This window comes from Homo sapiens, chromosome 10 (genome assembly GCF_000001405.40).
Source record: "Homo sapiens chromosome 10, GRCh38.p14 Primary Assembly".
NCBI classification, from domain to species: Eukaryota; Metazoa; Chordata; class Mammalia; order Primates; family Hominidae; genus Homo; species Homo sapiens.
In genome coordinates, this window is record NC_000010.11 from 16277105 (window position 1) to 16303176 (window position 26072).

The following is a 26072-nucleotide window of genomic DNA, read 5'->3' on the forward strand; positions in this document are numbered from 1 at the left end:
TAACCGAGACTAGATAATTTATAAAGAAAAAGAGGTTGAATGGACTAACAGTTCCACATGGCTGGGGAGGTCTCACAATCATGGCAGCAGGCAAGAGAGAATGAGAGTCAAGTGAAAGGGGAAACCCCTTATAAAAACATCAGATCCCGTGAGAGTTATTCACTACCACGAGAATAGTGTGGGGGAAACTGCTCCCATGATTCAATTATCACTCACCACATCCCTCCCACAACATGCGCAACATGCGGAGATTATGGGAGCTACAATTCAAGATGAGATTTAGGTGGGGACACAGGCAAACCGTATCAAGGAATTACAGAGTTAAGAGTGGGAGGCAGTTGGATGCCTGTGTTGCTATCTGCAGTGCAGGGCTTGAAGCCTAGGCACCAAGAGGGGGCCGGTTAGATTGGTTGAAAGGGACATGGAGACCAGAAGGGCTTCTTTCCAGTTCCTTCTTTGTGGGGAACATTGGGATCAGAGAGGGTTCTAAGCTCATTTCAGAAGCCCCAACATACTTAAATGAACATGGCTAGAAAAACTGAAGATTGAATTTACTAATCATTCCTTGCTTCTCATTTGTCTCAGGATTAAGGTGAAAGCTAAAGAACCTATTCTTGAGCCTAGTATGGTCCACGTAGGGTGGCCTCACAGCAAAGCCTTTGGGGTGGTGGACATGAGCCAGGGGCAGATGACAGATGTGGCAGTGACTCAGAGGAGTCTTCAAAACCCATGAAGGCTAAGGGGAAGCCAAGTCATTAGGGCGGATCCTCCAGGGTCCAGAGACACTAGAAAAGCATAGACTACGAATGAGTTTATCCACCATAGATGTCAACAACAGCTATCAATAGGCTCCCTAGGATCAGAACTGGCTGAGGCAAGCTTCAGTTGAGCTCCGTTCGCATCGGTCACCACACGCTCCCCTCCCAACTCCAGAAAGCCTGTGGCCCCTCCCATGCTTTGGCTGCCATCTTGGAAAGGAGGGCGACAAGGTAGAGCAATCTGAAACACAGAGCAGTTGTCCAAAGAATCGAGTTAAGGCCCCCAAAACAGATAAAATTATCTTGTCTTGCTGTGATTCAGATTAAACTAAGACTTCTTTTCCTGTTTACTCAAGATGTAGACACTTGATGAGAAACTGGTCTGGAGAAATCTAGGAGCTATATTGTCTTTGGACATCCATATTAGAGGATGAGTAAATTTGTAATCCCATTAAGTATTTTTTGAGCTTTCCAACAGTTTTAATTATTATTGGGAAATAAATCAGAGAAGTCTCTAAAGCAACAAAGAATTATTGAGGTTTCGTTTGTTTGGGGATTTTAAGGTCTAGTACTGTGGTATTTTTTGATAAAGCATCAGCTGTAATAGCTTTGTAGTACAGTTATCAAATTAAATAAAAAGGGATGTAAGTAGTCATAAAAATTGCTCATTAAAGCTGATCGCCTTTTTTTAAATGCCACCAAAGCTTTGGAGGGTGGAGAATAACCCAGTTGAAAATCTACAAGCAATGCTGTCCACATCCCAAATAGACTGGTCAAAAAGCCTTCATCCCGTCAGTCACTGACATCAACTTCATCCAAATCAGACTCCTAAAAACCCGGCCTAACTTATGTGTCATGCAAAGGATGGCTCTTGGAAAAATGCAAAGGTATGTCGTAATTTAGAACCCGGTCATTTGAAAACTTGATTATAAGGTAAAATATGCAGAAGCTTTAGGAAAGGTATAAAAATGTCATGCAAATAGGGTACTGGGTTGGGGAAGAGCTGAGATCAAATAAAATTTTCTCATAAAGTGTGCTGCTATATTTTCATGAACTGAGAGGCATGGAGATGGTGACAGTGAAGGCACAGGGCCTAACGCCACACAGCTGGTCTAGAATCCAGCTTTCCCTCTTCCTGACCTTCAGAAAGTCACTCAACCTCTTAGTGAATGTCCGGATTTTCTCATTTGTAAATAGGAACAATATTAGTACTGACTTCACTGGTTGCTGTAAGAATCAAGTGTTAAGATGTATCAAGTGCTCAGAAGACTGCCTAGCATGTACTTATGTAAGTTTCAGCTGTCATTATCGTTCTTTCATTAATATTTTTAGGCTGGGCGCAGTAGCTCACACCTATAATTCCAGCACTTTGGGAGGCCGAGGCGGGTGGATTGCCTGAGCTCGGGAGTTCGAGACCAGCCTGGGCAACATGGCAAAATTCTGTCTCTACGAAAAATACAAAAAATTAGCTGGGTGTTATGGCACCTGTCTGTGGTCCCAGCTACTTGGGAGGATGAGGAGGGAGGACTGCTTGAGCCCAAGAGACAGAGGTTGCAGTGAGATGAGATCACACCACTGCACTCCAGCCTGGGTGACAGAGTGAGACCCCAGCTCAAAAAATAAAATAAAGAAGAAAAAGAAGGTGTAGTTGCAACAGTGAAATACTGTATCTGAAACATGGGCCACAATTTTTAAAAAATATATAAATAAAAAATAGTATTTTACAATGACACCACAACTAATATGTGTGAGTCACAGGTGCCTGCCCTCACAGTGTTCTCAATCTAATAACTGGCATGAATTAGACGGTACATCCTTGGATGTTTTCCAGCTACCAGATCGATAGGTTGTAACATGAATATGAATTGTGTTTTAAATCTAAATTGCAACACGTGTTGAGAAAATTGAAAAAACTAGGTTGCCTTCATACTGTCTTCTGAGAAGACCCAAGTTTTGAGCAGTGATTTCTCTAAGGGAAGAGGTGAAAGGAATTAGAGAAAGAGGAAAGAAAGAGAAGATGGGAACACTTAGTATGTCTTTTCAAAGATCAATCTCTTCAAAGGTTGGCAATAGGCAAGTAAGATGTTGGGCAGACAAGCTTGCAAATGGCAAGCTCCGTAGCTGTCTAAAATGCTTGGAAAATTGAGAATCTCAAGCAGGTTAAGAATTATCCTTTTTTAGAACACATGGAAAAAGTGGGAAAAAAATACTTTTCCTTTTGCTCTTGTTATCAACACAATTAGCAAACCATTTAGAACTTTAGCAAACCATTTAGAGCTTAAGAGAAACAAGAAAAAGTTCAAACTGGCCCATCTTTATATTACAACAAACCTTGAGGTCACATTTATTTATACTTGACCCAACAGCTATGGTTCCTGAAATACATCTTCTGAGAGCTATAATGTGACATTCTTCCAGAATGATCAAGTAACAATGGTCTTCTCCTGATTCACTTAAGGAAAAAGATGTAACAAATTTGTGCATAGAATTCTCTCATTTAAGTTCTTCTTCCATACATTTTCTTTACTGTTTGTTGCTTATGACTGTTCACCTGATAACAAATGGCAATGCAATTAAATCATTCAATAAGTGAGTGAAAGTTAATGAAAAACCTGAAAACTGACCGGGCTCAGCTTGTTTATTTTCGTGGACATGTGGGCTATGATTTTACAGAGCACATATGTTATATTGTTCTATTTCTGTGTCCCACTTGTCCACTTGGCATAACCACACATGCTGGTATTTCATAGGGTTGCACATCCCATAACGTTCAGGAGCTCAGACATATGAACAAGTCTGAAGCTACGACAGTATATGCTCTTGATGCTTTAATACAATCTGAGAGCCTATGTTTCCATGCCCAAGGGCTCTCCTGCCAACTTTGCAGCCTATTTGAGAAGCTGCAGGATGATAAGCAACCATTAGCATCAGCTGTGCTATTTGTGATCCAAAGAGACTCATCCACCGGGAACAGGACCGAGAACACTGTATCCCAGAACATTGCATCCTTGGTCTTGAAATGAACAGCAGCTTGATTTGATTGCAAAGCACAGTGGAAGAATTTGGAAAAGCATATTGTAGCTTGAATTCCATGGGGTCTGTCCACCTTCCTAAAACCCTTTTAATTATTAGGGAGGCATTACCAAAGTTGGAATGATCTGCAGTATATGGCACGTCAAACAAGAAAGCTTAGCTTCCACATCTACGTGGTAACCTTGGGGAAATTATTAAACCATGCTCAGTGAAATGCAAGGGGAAGCTGATAATGATGCCTGTCCCACACATACTGTACAGGGATTTGGAGGAGGAGAAGGAAATAATTTCTGTACTAAAAATCTCCAGCCTCAACAGCTTGGGACAACAAAACAAGATTATACTTGCTAATTTCCAGAAATTTGCCTGCCTCAAAGAGGCCCCCAGTTTCTAGGGCATTTCCCAGGAACCTTCCTCTAAAACTGCATGCTATTGATAACACGAAAGCAGAACCAAGACCAAGTTCAGGCTTTGCCAAGGCTTTATGATATTCAGAATAACTTAAGAGTGAGAACCAGCTATTCAAAGAGCCTGTAAACCTAAACTGACTTTGGGTGTTGTCTCTCACTTTTTGATTCCAACCGCTCCTGATTTTCTGTCTTCTTCTTAACTAAGACTTACTGAGTGCTGTTAAGTTTTCAATGGATAAGCTATGTCTCAACTTTTCAATACCTTGTTGCGGTGGCTCCGCCTGCAGTCCCAGCACTTTGGGAGGCTGAGGCAGGAGGATTGTTTAAAGCCAGGAGTTTAAGACCAGCCTAGGCAATATAGTGAGACCCTGCCTGCACAAAAAAATTTTAAAAAATTCACCAGGCTTAATGGTGTGCTCCTGTAGCCCAGCTACTTAGGAGGCTAAGGTGGGAGGATCACTTGAGCCTGAGAGGTCGAGGCTGCAGTGAGAAATGATGGTGCCACTGCACTCCAGCCAGGATGACAGAGTGACTGACACTCAGCCAAAAAAAAAAAAAAAAAGTATGCACCAGGAAGACAAAATATAATGCCTTATTCACTAACGCATGTTGAAGTATATGTACATATATACACAGAATTGTAGGCCTGTACCTATTTCTAAGCCATATCCTGTACATGATGTGGTTTCAACATTCCAGAAACCTAGAAGTCCACAATCCTGCTCAGCCTTGTCTTCAGTTTCTGATCTTGAACAGTCTTTCAAAGACCACAGCCATGAGAAGGTCAACTAGAGCATCTAAAGAAGCAAAAGTTATGAGTCTCAAGTCTATGGCTAATTTACTTCAAAGCCTGATCTTCAGAGAAAGATATGAGAATAAGGAAAGATTTCTAATGTGTTATTCTATTGTGTTTTATCATTTTGCACCTTTTTTTCTTGTTTCTCATCTGTCTTACTCACTTTGGTCTATAAGCTGTGTGAGAACAGAAAATATAACTATCTTAGGGCAGGCGTGGCAGATCACACCTGTAATGCCAGCACTTTGGGAGGCCAAGGCGGGCAGATCACTTGAGGTCAGGAGTTCAAGACCAGCCTGGCCAACATGGCAAAACCTCATCTCAATTAAAACTACAAAAATTACCCGGGCATCATGGCACACACCTGTAATCCCAGCTACTCAGGGGCTGAGGCAGGAGAATTGCTTGAACCCAGGAGACAGAGGTTGCAGTGAGTTGAGATCATGCCACTGCACTCCAGCCTACATGACAAAGTGAGACTCTGTCTCAATTTAAAAAAAAAAAAAAAAAAAAAAAAGAAAAAATATAACTATTTTGCTCATTAATGTGTACCCAGAAATTAGGTCTAGCCCATAGTGGGCAGTCAGACAATCTTACTAAAATGACTGACTGGTCTAGGGGAGAAGGGAATAGAAAGAAAAATTAGTCCACTGATACAGTTTGGCTGTGTCCCCAGCCAAATCTCACGTTGAATTGTAGTTCCCATAATCCCCACATGTTGTGGGAGAGACCTGCTAGGAGATAATTTAATCATGGGGTGATTATCCTAATGGTGTTCTCCTGATAGTGAGTTCTCACGGGATCTGATGGTTTTATAAGGGGCTTTTCCCCCCTTTTGCTCAGCACTTCTCCTGCTGCCACCAGGTCCAGAAGGGCATGTTTGCTTCCCCTTCCGCTATGATTGTAAGTTTACTGAGGCCTCCTAAGCTATGCTGAACTGTGCATCAATTAAACCTCTTTCCTTCATAAATTACCAAGTCTCAATATGTCTTTATTAGCAGCGTGAGAACAGACTAACACATCCACCCATGGAATAAGAGGGAGATGAGTAAACTAGCTAGGAGGTTAGCGAGCACAAATGCGGGAACCATTCTGCAGCATGGCCACTTGAGTAGCAAGATAATGCTGGGAGGGTGGAAGAAGGAGAACTTGGGACTGGGAAACCATTGATGGCTGAGCACAGTGGCTCACATCTGCAATCCCAGCACTATGGGAGGCTGAGGCAGGAGTATGGATTGAGGCCAGGAGTTTGAGACCAGCCTGGGCAACATATAGTGAGACCCACGACTCTACAAAAAAATTTAAAAATTAGTCAGACATGGTGGCATGCACCTGTAGTCACAGCTACTCAGGGGACTGAGGCAGGAGGACCCCTTAAGCCCAGGAGTTTGAGGCCGTAGTGAACTAGAGTCACGCCACTGCCCTCAAGCCTGGGGTGAGGCTCTGTCTCAAAAATGCTTGTTTTTTGTTTTTTTTAATTTTTAAAAAGAGAGAAAATTAGGGCATTTTCTAGGTAAATAGTAAGGAGATAAGCTTAGTGACTTTTCTGCCCTCACAAAGCCAGTTAGCAGGCAATGTAGAGAAGAAAGCGGACCACCTAAGTCCTGGTTAACTACCTTTTTTCTCAGAAGCAGGGGCCGCTAAGGGAGAGATGTGAAGGTCAAGGAAGCTCTGAGCTCCTGACAGCCGCCCTTCCAGCCTTCTCCTGCCTTCCATAGAGAGATGCTATGGACTCTTGGTCCAGAGACTCAAATTCAAGGAAAAGAAGAGGCAACATTTGCAGTGTTGATCCTTGAGTTGAACAAAGGTGAGAGATAAGGGAAGAGGGTCACAGGGGCTGGGTGAGAAGTAATGTGGAGAGGGTGTGATGCTGGCGAGTTGGAAGGGACAGTGGTTGGGGAAGGTTCTGGGCTTCCGGAAAGAGCAACTGTGCCGCGTTGTCAGTGTAGCAGCTGGAGAGTGTGGGAGGACTTTAGGGAGACCACAGAGGGGGAGTTATAGGAAACACAGCAGCACTGGGAAGCTGTTGCCTGCTATGCAGCAAGGCCATGAGGCCCTGGGCCCTCCAGCCAGTCCCTGATCATGAGTTTGCGGCCTTGTTAGGCCCTGGCCGCGATGCCTCATGATCCTGCTGATGTTTCTGCCTTCTCTCCAGCCAGCAGCCAGCCCCTCTCAGGGGCTTCTCACTCCACTCCATCAGAAGCATACCTCAAGCACCCATTTGCATGGTCTCCTTTTTAATTCCCAAAGTTCAAAATCTCCACCTCCGTATCTTGTGCCACTCTAGCAGTTGCTGCTTACCCTAAAGCCAGCAAATTACAGTGACAAGAACAGAATTTCTCTTATGCTTAAAAAAAACTTAAATAAAGTCTATACAATATAAGGGTGAGAGAAGGTGGCATTTCCACAGACTTAGATAATAGGTGCCCTATGACAGAATGATCCTCTAATCTATCCTGGAAGCTACAAATTCTACTTGCAAAGTGATCTGTAACCACCTTGGCCCACCTGAAGGTGACAGTCCAGAAATGCAGCTCAATTTTGTGGTAATCCTGAGGTCACAAATAAGCTGTTTTTGTGCATGCGACTGTATCCTTTGGTGTTTGCTCTATTTGTAAACTGTGTCAGTATGATCGCTTGTAGCATCTTGGAATTATCTGGAAATATTTTTCAGAGCAACCTCAGAATGCTTTTCACAAATGTCATTCCCTTATTCTTTGAGGACTTTCATTGAGAAGACTCTTAGGGGCTGGCATAAAGTAAAATCCATTCTTTTCTTCAAAGCACTTCCTAGTTCCAGGAGATTCTCTTTGCACGTATACAGACTCTCCTTCCCTTCCAGGTAGAAGCTGTCTCCGTGGTTTCCTCTCTGCACCCACTATTCTGAGCCCATTTCCTCCTGGGACTGTCCCTTCCTGGGACTGTCCTTTCCTGGCTCCTTGGATCTGTCACCCCCTGGCCACACTTCTATTCTTTCCCTTTGCTTGAACAGTATCAGATGGGGAATATTTTTTTCTTTTATGTTGTTGTTTGTTTGTTGATCCAAGGTCTCACTCTGTCACCCAGGCTGGAGTGCAGTGGCACTATCATGGCTCACTACAGCCTCTACCTCCTGGGCTCAAGTGGCCCTCCCACCTCAACCTCCCAAGCACCTAGGATCACAGGCAGGCACTGCCACGCCTGGCTAATTTTTTTTTTTTTTGTAGAGACAGGGTTTCACTATGCTGCCCAGGCTGGTCTCAAACCCCTCGGCTCAAGTGATTTACCCACCTCAGCCTACCCAAGTGCTAGGATTACAAGTGTGAGCCACCGCACCTGGCCCAGATGGGGAAGACTTCATCAAATATTCTCTCCTCCGTTTTTTTCTCCTTGACTTCCTAAAAACTAAAACATGAAAAATATAAGTCCAAAGTGAAATTCTGGACTAATTTTTCAGAGCTCCTAGTCACTAGGAGACAGCTGCTTCAACATTTTAAATGTATTACCTTATTTCAGAAAAGCAAACATTATAACTTTAAGCAGGAACACCCCTGAGTTGCTTGGCATCATTTTTAAAATCTGATTTAAAACTACTTGATGAGCCAAATGTTGTGTTATGTGGACTTAGGTTCTGTCTTTTTTATGCTCAGTCCTCAATATTCAGTGAGAATCCATGAAAAGAAGATAAATGAGGACATGTCTTTGAGAAAATACAACATTTAAAGACAGAAAAATGTAAAATATAAAGACTGAGAGGGACCATATAGAGGGTCAGGAGGAAAGACAGAGGATGTGGTTTCCAGATGCGTGGCATCCCTTACTCAACATCACATACAAATACTAACTCAAATATCTAAATGACAGAGCTAACTGTATTAGTCCATTTTCATACTGCTGATAAAGACATAACCAAGACTGGGTAATTTATAAAGAAAAAGAGGTTTAATGGACTCACAGTTCCACATGGCTAGGGAAGCCTCATAATCATAGCAGAAGGCAAAAGGCATGTCTTACATGGCAGCAGGCAAGAGAGAAAATGAGAGCCAAGTGAAAGGGGTTTACCCTTATATAATCGTCAGCTCTCATGAGACTTACTCACTACCAAGAGAACAGTATGGGGGAATCCACCCCCATAATTCAGTTATCTCCCACCAGGTCCCTCCCACAACACATGGGAATTATGGGAGCTACAATTCAAGATGAGATTTGGGTGGGGACACAGCCAAACCTTATCACTAACACTATAAATCTCCTATAAGAAAATATAAGAGTAAATCTTTATGAGATTGAGCAATGGTTTCTAGATATGGCACCAAAAGCACATGCAATGAAAGAAAGACAGATAAGTTGGACATCATCAGAATTAACACTTTTGTAGTTCAAAAGATACCACCAAGAATGTGAAAGGCAACCCAGAGGATGGGAAAAATCTCTTGGACATCTTATTTTTGATAAGGGACAGGTATATGGATTATACAAAGAATTCCTGCAACAATAAAAACACAACCCAATTTAAGAATGAATAAACAATCTGAATAGACATTTCTTCAAAGAGGTTTTACAAATGGCCAATAAACACATAAAAGATTCCCAACATCATTAGTTGTTAGGGAAATGCAAATCAAAACCTAAATGAGATATGACTCCACATCTACTAAGATGGCTCAAATCAAAAAGCCAGATAATAATGAGTGTAGGCAAGGCTGTGGAGAAATCGGAACCCACAAACATTGCTCGTGAAAGTGTAAAATAGTGCAGCCACTTTGGAAAACATTGTATAGTTCTTCAAATGGTTAAACAGAGTTACCATATGAACTAAATTTCACTCCTAGGTACGTACCCAAGAAAAATAAAAACACATGTGCATACAAAAACTTGTGAACAAATATTCATGGCAGAACTATTCATACTAGCAAATAAGTAGAAACAACACAAATATTCACCAATGAATTAATGGACAAATAAAATGTGGTATAACAATACAATGGAATACTGTTTGACAATAAGAAGGAATTAAGTACTAACACATGCAACACCATGGATAAACCTTGAAAACATTATGCTAAGTGAAAGAAGCCAGTCACAAGGATCACATATTAGCTCATTTGTGTGAAATATTCACAATAGGTAAATCCATAGAGACAGAGAGTAGGCTGATGGCCGCTTGGGGCTGACAGTCTCAACAGTGATGAGGAGAGACTGCTAATGGGTATGGATGGTGAAAAATGTACTAAAATTGATTGCAGTCATATTTGCAAAATTCTGGATAGGCTAAAGACCATTGTATTTTATACTTTAAATGGGTCGATTTTATGATAGGTAAATTATATTTTAATAAAACTGTTATAGAAGAAAGAATGGTGGAATCGTCAAGTAAGTTAAAGTTGGCTTCAAATACTAGGAAGTTAAACATTAAAAACTGCCCAATGAATTTCATGCACAGATCTCAGTGATGACCTCACTGAGAGCTATTTTGATTGATAAACTGGCGAGGATGTAGAAGCCAGTTTGGAGTAGAATAAGTAGTTAGTGGGAGGTTTCAAAAACAAAAAAAGGGTGGAGAAAGCAACAAATCAGGAAACGTTTTCATTCAAGAAATTTGGCTGTGAAAAAGAAAAAGAATATTAGCTGGATGAGATAAGAGGTCAATGAGAACAAAAGAAGAGGCCTAGAGCACGTTTAATAAATGCGGCTGGGCATGGTGGCTCACACCTGGAATTCCAGCACCTGGGGAGGCCAAGACAAGTAGACTGCTTGAGCCCAGGAGTTCAAGACCAACCTAAGCAACATGGCGAGTAAAACAACAAAATATATATATAAATAATGAATGCTGCAGACTGAGGGACCAAGTTGATCAGAGAAACGTAACAGAATTATTAAGCAATGTCAGAGACATGTTTTAAGAAGGATGAATTTTAATGATATTTAATTTGCCATTTGTTGCAACCTTCTCCAGCATGGCTCAGCTGCCCATATACAGGTGACAGTACAGAGGGCGTAAGAGTCTTACAAGATAAATGGCATAAGTCAGTCATGGAATTTATTTACAAGATTGTTATGAGAAGAGGTGAAGTAAGAAAAACCGCTCGACTGTGAGAGAATAAAGTTCTCAGTGGATTCTGAGATAAATGTTCTCTCACTCCATAGCATTTATCATTTATTTACTTTTAATTCTTTTTTTTTTTTTTTTTAAAGAAGATGTGGTCTCGCCATTTTGCCCAGGCTGGTCTCAAACTCTTGAGCTCAGGCAATCTGCTTGCCTTAGCTTCCCAAAGTGCTGGGATTCCAGGTGCGAGCCTGACTGGGAGACAATGAAGTTCTCAGTGGATTCATGTGGATGAGATTAAAGAACAGTCATTGCAGGAGTAGTTGAACAAGTAGGCTGGAAGACAAGGAGCCTGAGATGCGAAGTAGAATGCTTGAAATTAATGACTGTAGAGGTGGAGCAGTTTCAGATGATAGAGAGCACATATCACTGAGTTGGGGTGGGTGCACAGAAGAGGAATCCATTGGAAATTTAAATTATTAGCAGTAAGAAGTTGGAATGTTGGAAGGGCCATTCACACGTTGGATTCACTCAGGATAGCTATGGTGTTTGGATGGAAAAGAATGACTGCAAATCAATGGGCAGAGTCTCAGATGACTGAGTGAGAGTAGGGGTTGGTGCATGACAGTGACCGAGGAAGAGAGGGTGGTGGGGTAAACCATCAGGAGTTCCAAAGTGGCAGGACTTTTTTTTTGTTTCCTTTCTTACTAAACAGAGTGGTCAGGAGAAGAAACCAACAAGAAATGTAACCTACCTCCAGAACTCAGGAACTCAGGTACCCTTAAGGATATCAGAAACAATGAAATATGGATTGGCAGAAGCATCTTCACCACCATCTTCAGATGTAATTAATGCAGCTGTTGAATTTGGTTGACTATCCACCTATAATTACCACATTGCCCATTACAGATTTTTGCTGCCTTTTCTTGCCTCCTTTTCATTTTTACATCCACTTATTCCCTACAGAAATGACAGATAATCAGCATTTTTGTTTTCTTGTTATGTTGTCCTGATAGTACAGCTACAAATGGATTTGATGTGCTGAATAATGGTCTACTAGGCCTAAAAATGAAAGTCTAGACCCTTAGTCAAAAATAACTTGGATCTATGTGGTACCAAGAAAAGAGGAATTATAAGAAAAAGAATATTAGTTTAATGTTCTGTAAATTTTTTTCTTAACCTATTCTGTCCAGTATTTACTACTTGGCTGCATTCCTAAAACATAAATTTCACAGGGGCAGGAGTCTTTGTCCATTTTGCTCATTAATGTGTTAGGAATACTAAAAAGAGTGTCTAGCGGGGTAGTCACATAATAAATACCTGTTGCATGAACAAATGGGCTCTTATCAGCAGCATTTTGTTGAGTTCCTAACATTAGCGGTACACTGGCACTGTCCTGAGTGAAATTAAAGACAGAATTTTCACAAATAGAAGCATGTTAGAAGAATCACCTAACAATAAGACAATCTACACTCTATGAAAGCAGAACACAACCCACCAGAGGGAATGAGAAAAAGGAAGGGGTGGAACCGAGCCAAGGAATCTTTTGCCAAGGGGAGAAAAAAAAAAAAAAATAAAGGCCAGAGAAGAAAATGCAGCAGGTGCGCACAGGTTTGACACCTGGTCGACCACAGTATCTCCCAAAGTGCCACATTCCAATAGGCTTTTGGAGAACCATGGTCAAATACATCTGTGAAATGATCATCTAACCAAAGTTTAAAACGTCCCTTTTTACTACACCACTTTTTGACCCTTTGCCAAAGGGTTTTGTAACTTTCCAACAGGGGTCGTTGATGACAGAATTATATGTATATATGTATGTCTGTGTAGAATTTTCTCTTTTTTTTTTCCAGATGGAGTCTCGCTCCGTCACCCAGGTTGGAGTGCACTGGCACAATCTCGGCTCACTGCAACCTCCGCCTCCTGGGTTCAAGTGATTCTTTTGCCTCAGTCTCTTCAGTAGCAGGGGTTACAGGCACGCACCATCATGCCCAGCTAATGTTTTTTTTTTTTAAGCAAAGACTAGGTTTCACCATGTTGGCCAGGCTGGTCTCGAACTCCTGACCTCAAGTGATCCACCCACCTCAGCCTCCCAAAGTGCTGGGATTACAGGCATGAGGCACCGCACCCAGCCAATGTGTGTAGAATTTCAACGGACATGTCTAACATGGAACATATTATGGAAAAATGTTAATCCAAACACAACATTGTAAGAGGGTGCTGAGGCTAGACCTCAGCTGCACTGAATGGCTGGCAGCTCTGAAGCTGGAATATGTCTCTGGGTCACTTTCTTCTGGGTCATCTTAACTGACAAGTGCATGGAAAATGCTTAAGTGTCTACTCCCATTGATCTCAGAGCAGAAGAATGACACAAGCTTCAAGCAGGTTTGTCAAGGATTGCAATTATTATGGGCAGGTGCTTCTCTGCAAATATTATATTCATGAATGTTATGGGATTCTTCCAGGAGAGCCTAGCTACAGGGAGTTGCAGGGATGTGGAAACTCAAAGAAAGAAGACATGATATAGAGAACTCTGGAGGAGACAAGCAGACCCCAGCAAAATGGCCATGGGTTAGGGTTATGAAGAAAAAATAACCGACAACAAGCCTAAGCAATGGGAGAGGTCAAGGAATTTTAAGATCAGAAAATTTTAATTATAAGAGCAGATATCAAGTTTTAAACTTTACTCTCCTTTGTGGTAATTTCTGGAAGTGAGTATCTCTTCTTAGTTAAGTTTGTGAAAGATGACAGCTTTCAGATACCCATGGCTGATAATCTTGGAAAGAAAACCAACTGATAGACAAAGAACCTGGTTCCCCCCAACCATCATACTTGTAACACTAACTTGCCTGTGTCATTGAGGTGATGTAATGAGGGGAAATCTAAGGGTACTCTGAATCACCCCCAAAACCACAGGCGGATTTTCTCTAGGAACTTCTCTTGCATTGTTAGCTAGATTCCTCTGTAAGGATTAAGTAAGTATAAACACCTACATGGCACTAAAGCATAAATAATCTGTCAACAATTTAGGCAAACAATGAGATAAAGTGCATGGCACTTTGGGCAGAACTACTGATGATTAAAAGAGAATGTACCTGAATAAAATTTACACCAATACCAGCTAATGCAACAGGTTGCAAAAATTTGTTAAATTTCTCATCCCAGCCTCAAAGAAATAACTAAAAATAAAAGGAAATTCAAAAGAAAAAATGGTATTAAAATTCAGAGAACAAAATGATTTCTTATCACTTGTAGATGACCTTTCTAAAATTTTTTATTTTTATTTTTGTAGAGAAAGGATCTTGCTGTGTTGCCCAACCTGGTCTCAACCCCCTGGCCTCAAGTGATCCTTCTGCCTCAGCTTCCTGAGTCAGTAGGGTTAGGAGCATAAGCCACTGCACCTGTCTCATGTAACCTCTCTTAGTGCAGAGATTTTCTTTGTTGGTTGCTATATATACCAGCACCCATATTAATACCTGCCCAGAGTAGGTGATCAATAATTATTAGTTGAATGAATGAAGGTGAAATAATTACTGAGCATCTGCTACATATTAGGAGCTGCATAAATCACAGTGCCTATTGAAAGGTTGCTATTATCCCTGTTTTGCAGATGAGGAAACGTGACTTACAGAAGTAACTTTCCTAAATTCAAAAAACTGGTAGGTGGCAGAGACAAATCCAGAATCCAGGTATGACCTAAATGCTCATGCTCTTTCCACCTCATTCCTGTCAGACCCAATATATTTTCTATAATAAATATTTTAATGTGTCCTTTACTGTCGTGAAATCAATTCAGAGAACATATCTTTGCATACGTAAGTTCAGAAAAATCAATGCAGTGTCCTCACTGTAAAACGAAATATAAAAGGAATGTAACTTAAGACAATGAATACGCAGGTATGATCACAGCAGAAGACAATGAAACAGATCCTTGCCCTCATCCATAGAATTATCCTGACTGTAGATCTGCAAATGCAGAATGATAGAAGTGATAGGTATTGGATATTCAAATACCTGAGTGCACTGCCATTGACTTGGTAACATTCCAAACAAAACAATATGCAATTTTCTCCACGTATGCGGTAGTTGAACTTCTGGAAAAGTCACTGTATATTAAAATTATGTAAAAATACTGGACACAGAATACTACTTTAAAAAAAAAAATACAGATGAGGTCTCACCATGTTGGCCAAGCTGGTCTTGAACTCCTGGGCTCAAGCGCTCCTTCCACCTTGGCTTCCGAAAGTGCTGGGATTACAGGCACGAGCCACTACGTGCCTGGCCACAGAATACTTCTTCGTTGAACAGAACTAGCTCCTACCCACTGAACACCAGAAGTGCCTGCTAGTCTAGTGAACAAAAAAACTTCACACATTTTTAAAATTCCACAGAGGACACAGTGCCACCTTATGCCTCACTGGTCTTCAAGAACAGTAAGAGGCCAAAGGAAGAGACTAACTTTTTTATTTGTACAAACTTACAAGGTACATGAGAAACTGTGTAATATGTCTATAATGCGTAATGACCAAGCCGTGGTATTTAGGGTGTCCAACACCCAAGTACACTACATTTTTGTTAAGCATAGTCATCCCACTCTGCTACTGAACGGTGAATGTTTTCCTTCTATCTTACTGTATGTTTGTACCCTTTAACAAGCTTCTCTTCATCCTCCACCTCCTCCCCACCCACCTTTCTCAGTCTCTCTCTCCACTCTCTACCTAATTCTCTCTATCAAATTCTTTAGCTGCCACATATAATTGAGAACAGGCAATATTTGTCTTTCTGCACCTGGCTGATTTCACTTAAGATAATGACTTCCAACTCCATCTATGTCGCTGCAAATGACATGATTTCATTCTTGTTTTATGGCTGAATATTACTCCATTGTGTATGTATGTGTATATATGTGTGTATTTATGTGTATATATATATACACACACATATACATACATATATACATACACACATACACATACATACATATATACATACACACATACACATACATACATATATACATACACACATACACATACACACACACACACACACACATATATATATCACATTTTATCAGTTCATCCATTCATGAACACTTAGGTTGATTCCATATCTTGTCTATTGTGAATAGTACTGCAATAAACATGTGAGGTTGGGTATCCTTTGATACACTGATTTCTTTTCTTTTGCGTAGATAGCCAATAATGGGATTGCTGGATGGGATGGTGATTCTACTTTTAGTTTTTTGAGAAATCTTCAGACTGTTTTTCCTTTGTGGCTGGACTCACTGTATATACGAGTTCCCTTTTCTCTGCAAAAAGTAAACTTTAATTAAAACTGCTCATCTAGGGTTGAGAGATCAGCAAAGACTCCATAGTGAAGGCAAAACATAAGCTGAAGCTTATAAACTCGGGATGACGTCTCCAGGCCAGAAACCTTAGAGCACTTTCAGACGGACCTCCTCACACACCCAATCCTGCTGACGGAGAACTAGAATACAGTAGAAACTTTCAGTTACATTTCCCCCACACTGTCCTCTTGGTGTGGGGGAAATGTAATTAATGATGTGAATCAACTTTAACGACCTCAGCAGGAACTAGGGAAGCCAGGTACTTACCCCAGAGCTCTATAAGGATTTTAGCAAGTGTATCCCACAAAACTGGGTCGTTTGTGGTGGCGGTGGTGGTTGTTTTAAGCCTCCTTATGAGCCTATTCTGTGATAGGGTTCCTTGGTAACATTTTGAGCACTGGGTGTATTAGGCTACAGATTCAGAAGAAAAATGATGCTAACAGTGTGGTCTGTGGTTTTTCTCTGGGAGCTAGACTGTGTGCCTCTGATATTTCTGGATCACAGTTTTGATTGTCTGATACCTTGGGCGATCTTAATCATGATGCTATGCTTCATAAATGTCTCTGTTTGATTTGAAGTCTCATCTACTCTACTGAATCAACATTGCCCTGCATTTGTGCCTGCATGTGTTGGTGATGCTGTTCAAGCATCTGTCCAAATTAGTGCACTTAGCTTCATTTCCTTCCTTGGGGGAATCCTGTAATTTTTCTTACTATAGAGTTTATTAAGAGGCCTTAATTGTTTATATTCCCTGTTGCGAATGAGTCCCTTGGAGCTGTTAACAAATGACTCATAATAAGTTTGACTAGATGATCTCTAAACTTCCCTCCCAGTTCCAACATTCTATGATTTTATAAGTGGAACATTAATTTCTCTCATTTGTAGAGAACTTAAATGTCACAGGCAGATATTGAGAACATAAAGTGGATCTTGGTGAACCATCACATACTTGTACGTGCTGAATACAAGACACAGTGGGAAGGGTGTTTAGGGACAAAGAAATTGCTCCAGGGCTTCTGGTGATTAGACTTGGGTGGGATTTGAAAAGACGCTACAAAAAGTAGATTTGTCTTTTTAAGTGTTTGGTCCAGGGAAGAACATCATCTATTGGAAAAGAGGCTTAAAAAAGTTCTGTGAGATGAGGCTGAGGGCAGTGGCTAATGCCTGTAATCCCAGTGTTTTGAGAGGCTGAGGTGGGCAGATCACTTGAGCTCAGGAGTTTGAGACCAGCCTGGGCAACATGGTGAAACCCTATTTCTAAAACAATATAAAAATTAGGCTGGGAGCGGTGGCTCACGCCTGTAATCCCAGCACTTTGGGAGGCCGAGGTAGGCAGATCACGAGGTCAAGAGATCGAGACTATCTGGCCAACATGGTGAAACCCCATCTCTACTAAAAATAACAAAATTAGCCGGGCGTGGTGGTGCATGTCTGTAGTCCCAACTACTTGGGAGGCTGAGGCAGGAGAATCACTTGAACCCAGGAGGCAGAGGTTGCAGTGAGCCGAGATCACGCCACCGCACTCCAAAGCAAGACTCCATGACAAAAAAAAAAATTATATATATATATATATATATATATATATATATATATATATATATATATATATATATGTATATATATATACATATATGCCAGGTATGCTGGTGCACGCCTGTAGTTCCAGCTACTCAAGAGGCTGAAGCGGGAGGAGGATCGCTTGAGTCTGGGAGGCGGAGGTTGCAGTGAGCTGAGATCATGCCACTGCACTCCAGCCTAGGTGACAGAGCAAAACCTCATTTCAAAAAAAAAAAAGGCGGGATGATACAGAAAAGGAAAAGAATGTATAAGTAGTAGACACTGACAATTACATTCTACAATTAAGATTTCTGGGGAGTCTAGGTAATTTTAACCTTTGGAGAAAAAAAAAAGAACCTGAGATTCTTTCCAAGGCCCTCACAGTAAGCTGGCTGCCAGTAAGTCCATCATAGACCCTAATACCGCCATCTTGGGTCTGAAGAAGATGATCTATGAAAGAGCGTGCATGTTTGAAGCAATGCACCGTAGTTTCACAATATTGCCATTTTCTATTTTTGTGAAACATGTATTCTGACTTGTTACTTTAAGTTTTGTTATGGAAATATAAAACTCTGTGTACCTTTTTGTCTTATAAAAATATATATCACCATTTTCACAGGTCTACCCTCATTTCTCTCTTTTTTTTTTTTTTTAGCAAATTCTCCCAGATTGTGATACCTCATTTCTGAGGACTTCATCTTTACCAAATCTTTCAATCCAAAGCAAACGAATACTGAAAATTCATGTATCCAAAGCAAATGAATACTGAACATTCACGTTGAGATGATCTTTAAATGTAATTAAATAGAGATAATGTAACTAAAATTAGAGTCCTCTTCTCTAGCTCATCTTTACTAATCTGTACTGGATTTCTCTATCTTCTTCATTTCTGGCTTCATTTCCAGTTTCTTCTTTCCTATATTCATCTTCAGTCCTGTCTATTTCTATTTCATTTCTCTAAATGAACATTGGTCCATTCTGTTTCATGCTTTTTCATTCACCTCAGAAAATCTCCTTTTCCATTCCCGGATGACTTCCATACACGTTCAGTTCGAGGAGGTTTGTATTGTTGCCTGTCTCACTGCACTTCCATTTCAGGACTGGCCACGTCTCTTCTGTGTTCTTTTGTGCCACACAACTTTACTCAGGGAGTTGTTTTTTATTACTTCGATTTATTCTATTGTTTTCTTTTCAGTAACCCTTCTCTCTTATCCTTTTCCCTCACAGATACACAGACACACACATCACAACCACCGCCACTACCATGCTCCTCACTGCCAGTCCCTTCGTCTCTCAATTCCATTCATTATCCTAAAATAGAATATGTAAATCCCTCATTCTTACTCCAATTAACTTCTATCTCTCCTCCTGCCTCCTAATTCAACCCCATAACTCTTATACATCCATCTATTCTCCTCCTTTTCTTCTGTCAGGAGATCATTTCAGTAATGTTTATGAGAACAGATTACTTATTTACCACTTCAGTGAAAACAAAACCCCCCAAACCACAATTCAAATATTAAGACAAAAAACTGACTAGAATGTTCTTATTCATTTAGCAAACATGTGCTGCATAGTGTACTGAACTAGCTCCACTTTTTGAAAGAGAATTATCAGACATGACAATGACCCTCAAGGAATTTTCTCCTTCTTTAAAAATCATAAAATCACAGACTAAATGTGATCGCTCTACAATGTCTGAAATGGAGGAGCTGACAAGAGGTCTGAGATTTCTATTTAATATGTCCTTTGAAGGTCAAAATATTTCTAACAGAGCAGGCCTCCTATAGCAAATGGGAGTTTTCATTAAAGATGCAAATATATATCCCAAAATGAAGTCACTGAAGATAGAAAAGAAATGAAGTGAGGACAGAGAGCTGGCTCATGCCTGTAAGCCCAGCACTTTGGGAAGCCAAGGCAAGAGGATCACTTTAGCCCAGGAGTTCAAGACCAGTCTGGGCAATATAGAGAGATGTTACCTCTATTTTTTAAAAAGGAGAGGAGAGGAGGAGAGGAGAGGAGGGGAGGGGAGGAGAAGAGAGGGGAGGGGAGAGATGGGAAGGGAAAGTGAAGCAAGGAAAGAGAATGAAAGGAAGGGGAAGAGGGGAAGGAGGAAAGGGGAGAGAAGGGAAGGGAAGGGAATGTGAGGGAAGGAAAGGGAAGGGAAGGGAACGTGAGGGAAGGAAAGGGAAGGGAAGGAAAGGAGAGGAAGGAAAGAAAGGGAAGGGAACATGAGGGAAGGAAAGGGAAGGGAAGGAAAGGAGAGGAAGGAAAGGAAAAGGAAAGAAAGAGAAGGGAAGAGAAGGAGAGGAAGGGAAAGGGGAAGAATAGGAAGGAATGGAAGGGAAAGGAAAGGGAAGGGAAGGAGAAGAAGGGAAGGAATATAGGTAGGATGCTATGCATAGATAATGTAGCTTTTAGGAAAAGAAACAAACAAAAAAAAACTACAACTACACCTGAGTATTTTAGGATACACCCAGAATATCCTGATAATGAGTACTGGGACTTTGGACAAAATAGAAGGCTCAGTAATTATAGATGAAGAGGCTTTCAGTAACCCTATTTGCTGGAGCCAGAGAAGCTAGTTTCTATCTCTTCAATGCTACTCCGCCCAAGCCTCAGAGGCTCTTCCAAAAAGAAAGTATATCCACCATGATTAGCTTCTAGGGAGCCACTGTGACCGTGGGCTCTCAGAACTGAAAATAACTCAGCATTACACCTTTCCTTCTTCCTACGTGACAACCCATGCACAAACTGAAGTTTTATTCGTGAACTAGTTTCTGGAGAAGCAGCTGACATAATTACTCACAGATTATTCACAGGATAAAACTTCTCGGTGCTTCAAAAGGATTCCTGATACACTCATTCGACTGAACACAGTTACACTTCATACCTGGCATGGAAATCTGGCAAACTGAAAATTGGCTGTAAAAAGGATATTTCCAGTGAAACACAGAGCAAACCCTGCAGAGACTAACTTTCCTTCCCCAGAATTCCCATGGCTCTGGATCTCACCCACTTAATTTTTGTTGCTGTGACTGAAAATTTACTTCACCAAACTATCAACTGTAATAGTAAGATTCTTGCAGTATAAAGGGATCAGCGAGCAGAAGTATTCATCTGTTTACATTCTTCCATTGCAATTGACAAAATAAGAAAAAAAGGACTCTATAAAAGAATCTGCAATATCAAAAAATTAGAACATTGCACTAAATGAAAAGAAAAAAACACACTGTGTTAGTTCATTCTCACACTGCTATAAAGACATACCGAGGACTGGACAGTTTATAAAGGAAAGAGGTTTAATTGACTCACAGTTCCACATGGCTGGGGAAGCCTCAGAAAACTTACAATCATGACAGAAGGTGAAGGGGAAGGAAGGCACCTTTTTCGCAAGGTGTCAAGGAGGAGAATGAATACAGGAGGAACTACCAAACACTTATAAAACCATCAGATCTCATGAGAACTCACTATCGCGAGAACAGCATGGGGGAAATGGCCCCCATGATCCAATTACCTCCTCTTGGTCTCTCCCTTGACCTGTGGGGATTATGGGGATCGTAATTCAAGATCAGATTTGGGTGGGGGCGCAAAGCCTGCCCATATTGCAAACATTTAAAATAGATTTCTGTGACTGGGTGCAGCGGCTCACGCCTGCAATCCCAGCACTTTGGGAGGCTGAGGCAGGAGGATTTCTTCAGGCAAGCAGTTTGAGACCAACATGGACAACATAGCAAGACCCCACCTCTGCAAGAAAAGAAAAGATTTATGATAGAAAATAGAAGGAAACAGCATTCGGGATGTCCTTCTGAACATAAAGCAAAGCCCTGACTATAAAATAAGACATAAAAATATTGCAATGATAAGACAACTCAGTGATGAGGAGAAGGGTTGACATGGTCATTAAACAGGTAGAAATTTTTAAAAAGCAGAATGAGACAAGGCTGTGATGTGAACGACAAGCTTGAGTCAGTAGGCTGAAATACAGCAAAAAGAACACTGAACTTTTTAGGCTTGAGTCAATATCATGCTTCTAATTATGATAGCCTTAGAACAAGCTTTAATATCTGATTCAGTTATTCACTTTTAGTCTTCTTTTTTCAAATGTTTAAACATAATTCCACACTTTCTTCCTTTCAATAAAATTTTTCCAGATCTAACAAATAAAATACCACTGTAAATGTATGCAAACAAAATATATATTAAGTTGATGAGAATGTCTATTTTTACTTACATGGAGTCAATGAATTATGTGTTCTCATTTATTTAAGGCTGTTTCCTTGTCCACCGACTAAGGTACTGCACATCTTAATTAAGTTTTTATTAAATATATTCCCATATACTGTCACTGTTTACCTCTTATTTGGGACCCTAAAGCTACACTCTCTTAAAGGTGAAACACTAGGGTTATTTTTGTTAAAGTGAAAATGGCCCCATCACCTTTATGGTTAACATTGCTTTATAAACATTCTGCAATAAACTAAGACTCTTAAAAAGCAATGTAAGTACAAATATTTAAAGTAAGGAAATGACTTTTTAGTGATGAGCAGATGCTTGGAATTCTACCTTCAAGAAAATCAACTCAACTTATGATAACTAAGGTAAGAGTTTTGTAAGATGGTAAGTTACAATAGGATTAAATAAAATTATGACTGTAAAGTACCTGGACCAAATTGCAATGCTTCACTGTTTGTTAGTTTTTAGTGTTATGGCCTTAGCTATTCAAGCATATACTGGTGCACATTTGGGAGAACATTTCTATGTGGAAATGTGGAAGAGGAACTGATGGGCCATGGGCCATGCACATTTTCAACTCCACCAGATCCTGCCAAATGGCTCACCAATTTACACCCCCATGAATACTACGGTGTATACACACTCGTGTGTCACTTAACAATGAGGACATGTTCTGAGAAATGTGTCGTTTGATTATTTCGTCATTGTGTAAACATCATAGGGTGTATTTAAACAAATCTAGATGGTATGGCCTACTGCAGACCTTAGGCTATATGGTATCATCTATTCCTTTGGCTCCTAAGGCTACAAACCTGTACCCATGTGACTGTAATGAACACTGTAGGCAACTGTAACACAGTGGTATTTGTGTATCTAAACATATCTAAGGTACAGTGCAAGGTACAGTAAAAATATAGAATACAAGAAAAAAATATAAGACACTTAGCATGAATAGACCTTGCAGGACTGGAAGTTGCTCTGGGTGAGTGAGCGAGTGACGAGTGAAAGGGAAGGCCTAGGACGTCACTATACACTACTGTAGACTTTATAGACACCGTACACTTATGCTACACTCTATTTTAAAAACAGTTCTTTCCTCAATAATAAATTCGGCTCAGCTTACTGTAACTTTTTTACCTTATAAACTTTTAAATTTTTTTAACTTTTTGACTCACAATAACAGCGTACAACACAAACACTGTACTGCTATACAAAAATACTTTGTCTTTATATTCTTATTTTATAAGCTTTTTTCTATTTTACCTTTTTGTTTGTTTTACTTTTACCTTTAAACTTTTTTGTTAAAAACTAAGACACAAACACACCTATTAGCCTAGTCCTACACAGGGTTGGGATCATCAATGTCACTGTTTTCCACCTCTGCATCTCATCTCACTGGGAGGTCTTCAGGGGCAGTAACACACATGGAGCTGTCATCTCCTATGATAACAATGCCTTCTTCTAGAATATCTCCTGGAGGACCCGCCTGAGGCTATTTCACAGTTGGCTTTTTTATACATATAAGTAGAAGGAGTACACTCTAAAATAACAATAAAAAGTAAGGTAAATAAGTAAACCAGTAACATAGTCATTTATCATCAAGCATTATGTACTGTACGTAATTGTACGTGCTAGATTTTTATACTATTAGCAGTAGAAGTCTGTTTACACCAGCGCCATTGCAAACACATGAGTAATGCATTGTGCTACAACGTCACTAGGTGACAGGAATTTTTCAGCTCCATTATAATTATAATCTTTTTTTTTTTTTTTTTTTTAACAGAGTTTCACTCTTTTTGCCCAGGCTGGAGTGCAATGGCATGATCTTGGCTCACTGCAACTTCCACCTCCTGGGTTCAAGTGATTCTCCTGCCTCAGCCTCCTGAGTAGCTGAGATTACAGGTGCACACCACCACATCCAGCTAATTTTTTGTATTTTTAGTAGAGACAGGGTTTCACCATGTTGGCCGGGCTGGTCTCGAACTCCTTACCTCAGTTACCCACCTGCCTCGGCCTCTCAAAGTGCTGAGATTAGAGGCTTGAGCCACTGCACCCGGCCTCCATTATAATCTTGTTGGACCACTGTTGTATATGTTGTATATGTGGTCTGTCATTGATCAAAACATTAAGTGCCACATGACTGTATTTTAAATAAATCACTTTACACACTAATTTTCAAGATCATATCACTCCAAAAAGCAAGACAAACCTTTTTCTTGACAGCAGTTAAAAATCTATAGAATTCTCTAAACAAAATTTTTCAACAGAGAAAATTATATTAACTGATTTTTTTCTGCCAGAGATGAAAATTTTCCGGTGTCTAGGATAACTCAATTGGACAAGAATAACTGAAAAATACCAACATTCGTACATTTTCTTGTTAAGTTTATCACAACTTACTAAATGCTATATTATATGCTTAGTTCTATAAATGTATACATGTATATACACTAAATACTGCTATATATATATATAAAGCCATATATATTTAGTAACATATCATCTTTTCTCATGTTGATGTACTTTGATCATTGATGAGCTCAATAAAAACTGAAGATAAAAGCTTAGAATCACCATAACAATTGTGTAGGGAGAGAAAATATAGGAAGAAGTAGGAGAATATAGCTTATAAAACAATCAAGGGGGAATATCATTGCTATCAGTATTTTCATGAAGAAAACATGAATACTGTAGAAGGAATATAGAAATATACGATGAAAGTCCTAACCCAGTAAGTAGTTGATTCAAATGTTGCCTAATAAATCCAAAACTTATTTAAACTCAACGCAATTTAAGTAAACCCATACTCCACTCAGCTAACACACAGCAGATTGTAATCCTGTCTCCTTGCCAAAAATGAAAGTTTGTCTCTGTTCCTTCCATAAGAACTTTGGGTTTTACTATATAGCATTTCAGGATTAGAACTGATCAATGCAAAATTGCACATGTGGGCCGGGCGCAGTGGCTCACACCTGTAATCCCAGCACTTTGGGAGGCTGAAGCAGGCAGATCATGAGGTCAGATCGAGACCATCCTGGCTAACATGGTGAAACCCTGTCTCTACTAAAAATACAAAAAATTAGCCAGGCATGGTGGCGGGCGCCTGTAGTCCCAGCTACTCAGGAGGCTGAGGCAGGAGAATGGCGTGAACCCAGGAGGCGGAGCTTGCAGTGAGCCGAGATTGCACCACTGGACTACAGCCTAGGCAACAGAGAAAGACTCCGTCTCAAAAAATAAAAAAATAAAAATAAAAAAAATAAAAAATAAAATAAAATTGCACATGTGATCTAGGCCAGAGGCAGTGGCTCATGCCTGTAATCCCAGCACTTAGGGAGGCTGAGGTGGGCGGATCACCTGAGGTCACGAGTTCGAGACCAGCCTAGCCAACATGGCAAAACCCCATCTCTACTAAAAACACAAAAATTAGCCAGGCATGGTGGTGGCTGCCTGTAATCCCAGCTACTCAATAGGCTGTGGCAGGAGAATCGCTTAAACCCAGGAGGTGAGTACAGTGAGCCAAGATCACACTATGGCATACCAGTCTAGGTGACAGAGTGAGACCCTGTCTCAGAAAAAAAAAAAAAAAAAAAAAAAAAAAAAAAAGGAGAGAAAAAGAAAGAAAAGAAATTGCACCTGTGACCTGCCAATTGTACCTGTGACCTGACATATCAGTAAAATAGAGCATCGAGCCTGGAAACTGCCCACATTAGAGCAATGTTTCTAGTGTGTTTAAAACAAGCAGTGGGCTAGTCTAGCAGGAGGCATCAGTGGCCAGTGGGCCATAGCAGAGCCTGGGCAAAAAGGTCTGGGAAATGAGTAAAACATGTTTAGACAGTAGTAGGCAGATAACCTGGAGCACAACAGAGGTCTCTAGTTAACTGGAAGTAGAGTCAAGATCGGAACCTAT

General features: G+C 40.4%; 1 long non-coding RNA gene across 3 annotated transcripts; it reads left to right on the forward strand.

The window, feature by feature from the left end:
* The first annotated feature begins 952 nt into the window (after nucleotides 1-952).
* On the forward strand, nucleotides 953-18754 carry LINC02654 (long intergenic non-protein coding RNA 2654). Of its 3 annotated transcripts, NR_184075.1 has the most exons (4): nucleotides 953-1645; nucleotides 6626-6804; nucleotides 11738-11797; nucleotides 18585-18754. It is a non-coding gene; the product is annotated as a long intergenic non-protein coding RNA 2654 (long non-coding RNA). The 3 variants fall into 3 exon arrangements; NR_184074.1 differs by lacking the exons at nucleotides 6626-6804; nucleotides 11738-11797 and adding an exon at nucleotides 14633-14711; NR_184073.1 differs by lacking the exon at nucleotides 18585-18754 and having other exon boundaries at nucleotides 11738-12356.
* The last annotated feature ends 7318 nt before the right edge of the window (nucleotides 18755-26072 follow it).